The sequence below is a fragment of the Homo sapiens genome, chromosome 19 (genome assembly GCF_000001405.40).
Source record: "Homo sapiens chromosome 19, GRCh38.p14 Primary Assembly".
NCBI lineage: Eukaryota > Metazoa > Chordata > Mammalia > Primates > Hominidae > Homo > Homo sapiens.
The window spans coordinates 46,155,757-46,162,135 of record NC_000019.10 but is presented as its reverse complement, the minus strand read 5'-3'; the positions used below and the strand labels follow the sequence as shown (position 1 = coordinate 46,162,135).

At 39.6% G+C, this 6,379-nt stretch overlaps 1 protein-coding gene across 25 annotated transcripts in view, besides 1 other annotated feature; it reads right to left on the bottom strand.

The window, feature by feature from the left end:
• Positions 1 to 6,379, bottom strand: part of IGFL2 (IGF like family member 2) — a 136,850-nt gene that overhangs the window by 53,227 nt on the left and 77,244 nt on the right. For 4 of the 25 annotated variants that reach the window (XM_047438228.1, XM_024451381.2, NM_001002915.3 and 1 more), the window contains 3 exons: positions 1,668 to 1,721; positions 1,255 to 1,522; positions 847 to 1,066 (listed from right to left, as the gene is read on the bottom strand). The exons of 15 other annotated variants lie outside the window; for them this stretch is intronic. In XM_047438228.1, coding sequence (XP_047294184.1) covers positions 1,048 to 1,066; positions 1,255 to 1,522; positions 1,668 to 1,721 — 341 coding nt within the window. In that variant the 3' untranslated portion in view covers positions 847 to 1,047. Of the gene's footprint in view, positions 1 to 846; positions 1,722 to 6,379 lie in introns of those variants that run through there. 6 more of the 25 variants (XR_001753605.1, XR_001753604.1, XR_007066604.1 and 3 more) reach the window with 4 other exon arrangements.
• Positions 1,847 to 3,046: an enhancer, noted in NCBI's record as "BRD4-independent group 4 enhancer chr19:46662347-46663546 (GRCh37/hg19 assembly coordinates)". NCBI's record gives its function as "activates an origin of replication core promoter dependent on BRD2, P300/CBP, MED14 and CDK7 cofactors, and independent of BRD4, by STARR-seq in HCT116 cells {active_cell/tissue: HCT116}" and the evidence as "EXISTENCE:reporter gene assay evidence [ECO:0000049][PMID:35650434]".

Sequence of the window (6,379 nt, the reverse complement as noted above, 5' to 3'; positions counted from 1 at the left end):
GAGATTGGGGATCTATATTCAACATTCTCAAAGAAAAAGTCTTCAACCAAGAATTTTATATCCAGCCAAACTATGCTTCCTAAGATCCTTTTCAGATAAGCAAATGTTGAGGGAATTCATTACGACCAGCTCTGCCTTACAAGAGATTTTGCAAGGAGCACTAAATATAGAAGGAAAGACCACAACCAGCTAATACAAAAACACACTTAAACACACAGACCAGTGTCACTATAAAGCAACCACACAAACAAGCCAACATAATAACCAGCTAACAGCACAATGACAGGATCAAATCCACATATATCAATACTAACCTTTAATGTAAACAGGCTAAAGGCCTCACTTAAAAGACACAGACTAGTAAGCTGGATAAAAAAGCAAGACCCAATGGTATGCTGTCTTCAAGAAGCCCATCTCACACTTAATGGCACTCATAGGCTCAAAATAAAGGAATGGAGGAAAATCTACTAAGCAAATGGAAAACAGAAAAAAGCAGGAGTTGCAATCCTAATTTCAGACAAAGACATTAAACCAATGAAGATAAAAAAAGAAGGGCATCACATAATGGTAAAGGGTTCAATTCAACAAGAAGACCTAATTATCCTAAATATATTTGCAACCAACAGAGAAGCACATAGATTAATAGAGGAAACTCTTAAAGACCTTCAAAGAGACTTAGACTCCCACACAATAATAGTGTACTTAAAAACTCTCCAGCCTTTTGTTTCAGCAGAACTGAGTTCAATCTCTTTCCTCCATTGCAATAGTCTTGAATAGTCTTCCTTGCCTATTTCAATCCAAAAAAAAAAAAAAAAAAGAAAGGAGACGACATTGGGTACAGGTGTGTACATTGGAAAAACCACTTTATTTATTTCCTGATAATCTACTGTCATTCTCCATGTCCCATCAGTCTCCCACATGGGCCATACAATGGCTTGGAGCTGCATCATTTTGTAAATTCCTCAGGCTTCTCTACTGGTACACATATTACCTTAGCCTATGTTTCTGAGATGCCTTAGTGAAAGTTGATTTTCTTTCTATGTCTTCTCAGGGAAAACGTCTTCTGCTACAGAGAAAAAGAAACCAAGAAATTACGAATAACAGACAAGGAGATAACTGAAAATATTTGAGAAACTGCTAGAGATTAGACTACAGGGCCAGGGCTCTTCAAAAGGAGTGATGAAGACATCTAGACTCCCCTCCTCATTTCCACCTCCCTTCCCCCGACCCCCTGGCCAGGGACGGGGTCCCTACCTTTCACATTTACTGGAGATGGGAGATGAGTGGCACTGGGAATTCACACCCTGAACCTTCAGCTTCACAACAAAATCGTTTGTGAGGCCAAAGGAATCAAGACAGCAGAGCTCAAAGCAGGGCCAGAAGGTGCAGGGGGGACCACATTGGCGGGTCTCGCTCAGGGACACGATGGCGTCATTGTAACAGCACTGCTCCAAGGGGTTGTAGATCTTGTCTCCACACCTGGGTGCCGGCTGGCACAGCCATGGTTCTGAGCCAGCGGGAGCTGGACAGATGGACAGACATTGTTGGTGTGAGCTCAAGGATAACCAGGCACTACATCCCCCAATCAGGAGCCCTCTGTGAACCCCCATGCCCACTTTCCAAAGTCAGCCTCCTTCCTCTTCACTCTTGCCCATCCTTGTACTCACCGATGACTTCCCTTGGACACAAGAGGAGGAGACAGACTGACACATAAGCAGGAGCTGGGAGAGAAAGAAAGGAGGTTAAGGATGGGGCTGGAAGTGTGGCCACTAGGTTGATCTCAGGGAGGGCAGGCCAGGGTGGGGAAGGCTTAGTTCCAGATTAGCTCTAAAGGCTTGGGTTTGGAACTATCTTTGCATAGGATCTAACTGACACAGTTAAGAGTCCAGACAGCAGGGCCAGAGAAGCATGGACCCTTCTAGGAAAGAGAATGCAGGGAAAACTCTTGGAATATCTTCGTTTATGATTCTAAGAATATGCTGAAGTTTACCAGTTGGAAAAAGGAGGGAGCAGCTGTTAAAGATTAACCATGGTTAAGATTAAGGTGATAAGGAAGGAGGAAGGAAGCTGAGTAAGATTGGCAAGTGGAGAACTGGGGTGCAGGATTGTCTTGGAGATAGGATTGGGCTTGAGTAGGTCTTTTTTTGTTTGTTTGCTTTTTGTTTTTTGAGACAGGGTCTTACTCTGTCACCCAGACTGGAGTGCAGTGGTGCCATCTTGACTCACTGCAGCCTTGAACTCCAGGGCTCAAACGATCCTCTCACTTCAGCTTCCTGAGTAGGTGAGACTACAGACATGTGCCACCATGCCCAGGTAATTTTCTATTTTCTGTAGAGACGGACAGTAGGTCTAAAATTTGGGGCTCTCCTCATTTGTTTTGCAGTTTCTGACACCATGACTGTGGGTGAAGGTTGAGAGATAAAGGAAATGGAAAAAAATGATGGAATATGAAGGTTTTTTTATGGATGCAATCACCTGACTAACATAGTGATCCAAGTTCAAATATTCCATGGTTGAAAGCATGTACAGGCAGGTGAAAACATGTACAGGCAGCTTTTGAAAGCATGTACAGGCAGGTGACAATGAGATTATGTGAGCAAAATAAGAGGAAGGGTGTTCGTTTTTGTCTTCTGTACTTGCAAATGAAAAATGTTCCCCTTATACTATAACCTTTTTCCTCTCCTGGGCTACTCCATATCAGAGAGTGAATGCAGCCAAGTCCTACTCCATGTTGTGGCTTGAGGAAGCTCATGGCCTCCAGTACCACCGGCCATTACCAATGAACATGAAACTAGAGAAGGTGGCTCTTCCCATCTATTTTAATCCCCCTTCTACTAAACACCTTCTAATTCTATATTTCCCAGGCACTGTATCCTTAGAAGTTTCAAAAGATGATGCCCCAAACCACTTTGTTTACTCCCTGGAGAACTATTTGGAGTCATATCCACAGTTTTCACGTGATCTAGCAGAAGTGCACAGGCACCATAAACTCCAAAAGAGAACCAGAGAAGAGTGACAGCTGCGATTTTTTCATGGAGTTGTTGTGAGGATCCAAAGGGCATGTGGTTCTAGAGTGCAGATTGTAATAATAGTAATAATAGTAAGTGGCAGATGATATGTGATACAGCACCTGAGAGTGCAGCCCAGATAAACAAAATCACAAGGTAAACCAATGCCTATGAGGAAGGCAGCAGATCTGGCAGGACCCGGGCAGTAAGGAAGCCAGCCCTCAGTGATGACAACTGATCTGACACTCCATCCCCCACCTGCTGCCACAACTTGTGGGGGAGCCCTTACTCCTAATCATCCTGACCGCATCAGTAACCTTAGGGAGGGCTCTTCTCTCCCAAGCTCCATTCTTAGCCTCCCATGCACGTTGAAGGGTATTGGCCTCCTTTACAAAGCCTAAGAAGATCAAGAATCTGGATATTCTTGATGAGCCTCACCTGCCAGCTTGGTTATTCAAGAAAAGTTGTACATGAAATTAACAAGAAAAGGTACAAGTGTCAAAACTGTTTTAGCTATTCTAGTTCCTCTGCCTTTCCATATAAATATAGAATCTTGTCTATACCCACCCGCCCCCCCAAAAATAAAATCTTGCTGGGATTTTGATAGAAATTGCAATCAGGCCGGGCGTGGTGGCTCACACCTGTAATCCTAGCACTTTGGGAGGCCAAGGTGGGTGGATCACGAGGTCAGGAGATCAAGACCGTCCTGGCTAACAGGGTGAAACCCCATCTCTACTAAAAATACAAAAAAATTAGCCAGGCATGGTAGTGCGCACCTGTAATCCCAGCTACTAGGGGGCCTGAGGCAGGAGAATCACTTGAACCCGGGAGGCGGAGGTTTGCAGTGAGCCAAGATCGCGCCACTGCACTCCTGTCTAGGTGACAGAGTGACACTCTGTCTCAAAATAAAATAAAATATAAATTGCAATCAATTTGGGGGGAACTAACATCTTTACTAGTTGAGTTTTACAATCCATGAAAATGGCATGTCTCTCCATTTATTTCTTTCAGGAGCATTTTGTAATTTTCAGCATATAAGTCCTGTACATGTTTTGTTAGATTTACACCTAACTTTTTCATTTTTGAACAATTGCAGGTGCTATTTTGTTATTAATTTCAATGTCCACATGTTCATTATTGGTATAAAGAAACACGATTGATTTTTTCTATGTTGATCTTGCATTCTGAAACCTTGCTAAACTCACTTATTAGTTATAGGAGTACATTTTTAGATTCCTTGGGACTGTTTACATAGACAGTTGTGTGGCCTACAAATATAGGAACAGTTTTATTGCTTCCTTTCCAATCTGTATAAATTGTAATTCTTTTTTTCCTTGACTTATTGCCCTGGTTAGAATGTCCAGCAATACACTGAATAAGAATGGTGAAAGCAGACTTCCTCTCCTTTGCTCAGTCTTAGGTGGAAAGCATTCACTTTTTCACCATTACTTATTATATTAGTTGTAGGGTTTTTGTAGATGGACTTTATCGAGTTGAGGAAATTCCCCCTATTCCTGTTTTTCTGGGAGTTTTTAAAATCACGAATGGGTGTTAAATTTTATCAGATGCTTTTTCAGCATCAATTGATGTGATCATGTCATTTTTCTTCTTTAGCATGTTAATATGATGGATTACACTGAGAGTGATTTTTGAAATATTCTGCCAGGCTTACATTCTGGAATAAGCCCTACATAGGCATGATGTGTAAGTATTTTTTTATATTGCTGAATTTAATTTACAAATATTTTGTCAAGGATTTTTGCATGAAGGATATTGGTCTATAGTTTCATTGCTTTGTTGTTGTCATTGTTCTTGTTTGTCTTTTTATGATTTTAGTAGCAAAATAACTCTGATTTTATGAAATGAATTGAATTCCCTCCTATTCTATTCTCTGGATGAGATTGTGCAGAATTGGTGTCAATTTCTTTTTAAACATTTGTTAGATTCTCAGGTGCAACCATCTGGGCTTGGAGATTTCCTTTTTAGGAGATATTTTAAATTCTGAATTCTATTTCCTTAATAGTTATAAGGCTACTAAAATGATGTATTTCATATTGGGTGTGTTGTGATCATTTGTGCTTTTAAATGGGTGGTCCATTTCATCTAAGTTGTCAAATTGTGTAGAGTTATTCCTAGTTTTCCACTATTATTCTTTTAGTGTCTGCAAAACCTATATCTCCTGTCTCATTCCTGATACTGACAATTTGTGTCTTCTCTTTGAATTTTTGAGAGTTTTGCTAAAACTATCAAAAGATTATTGATCTTTTCAAAGAATTAACTCTTTATTTCATTGATTTTCTAGACTGTTTTTCTGTTTTCAATTTTATCGACTCCTGCTCTCCTCTTTATTATTTCCTTCCTTCTTGCTTTGGGTTTATTTTGCTCTTTTATTTTTTCCTAGCTTCTTGATGTGGGAGCTTAGATTATTGATTTTTCCTTTTTTCTAATACAACTATTTAGCACAATAAGTTTCACACTTAGCACTGCTTTATATATGTTCCATAAATTTTGATATATTGTATTTTCATTTCATTAAGTTAAATATAGTTTTAAAAATCTTTGAGACTCATCTTTAAACCATGAGTTATTTAGAGTTGTGTTGCTTAGCTGCCAAGTGCTTGGAGATCTTTCTGTAGTCATTAGCTTGATCAAATTATGGTCAGACAACTTACTCTGTTAAACTTCAATACTTTAGAACTTGTTGAGGTTTGTTTTACGGCTCTAGATAGAAGCCAATTCTCCATTACCATTTACAATGATATCAAAAATAACAAATACCTAGAATTAAATCTAAAGAAAGGTGAGAAACCTCTGCAAAACTCTGCTGAAAGATACTAAAGAACACCTAAGTAAATGGGAAACATACCAGGTTTATGCTTTGGAAGACTCAATATAACAAAGATGTCAGTGTTCCCCAAATTGATCGATAAATTCAATGCAAACTCAATAAATATTACAGCAAGGTTTTGTATAAGTTAACAAAGTGATTCTAAAATTTATCAGAAAGTGATGGTTGGGCACGGTGGCTCACACCTGTAATCCTAGCACTTTGGGAGGCTGAGGCAAGAGGATTGCTTGATCCCAGGAGTTCAAGACCAGCCTGGGCAACACAGTGACACCCTGACTCTATACATATTTTTTTTAAAAATTACCAGAAAATGAAAATGACAAGATAGCCAATACAATATTGAAGAAACTAAACAAAGTTATACGACTTACCCTAACAGATCAGGAAGTTTCATAAAACTATAATAATTTAGAGCGTGGTATTGCGAAAGATAAATAATTTTATCAATGGAATGAAACAGAGTTCAGATACAGATCCACACACAGACAATCAGTGATTTATCACAATTGTACCACTACAACTC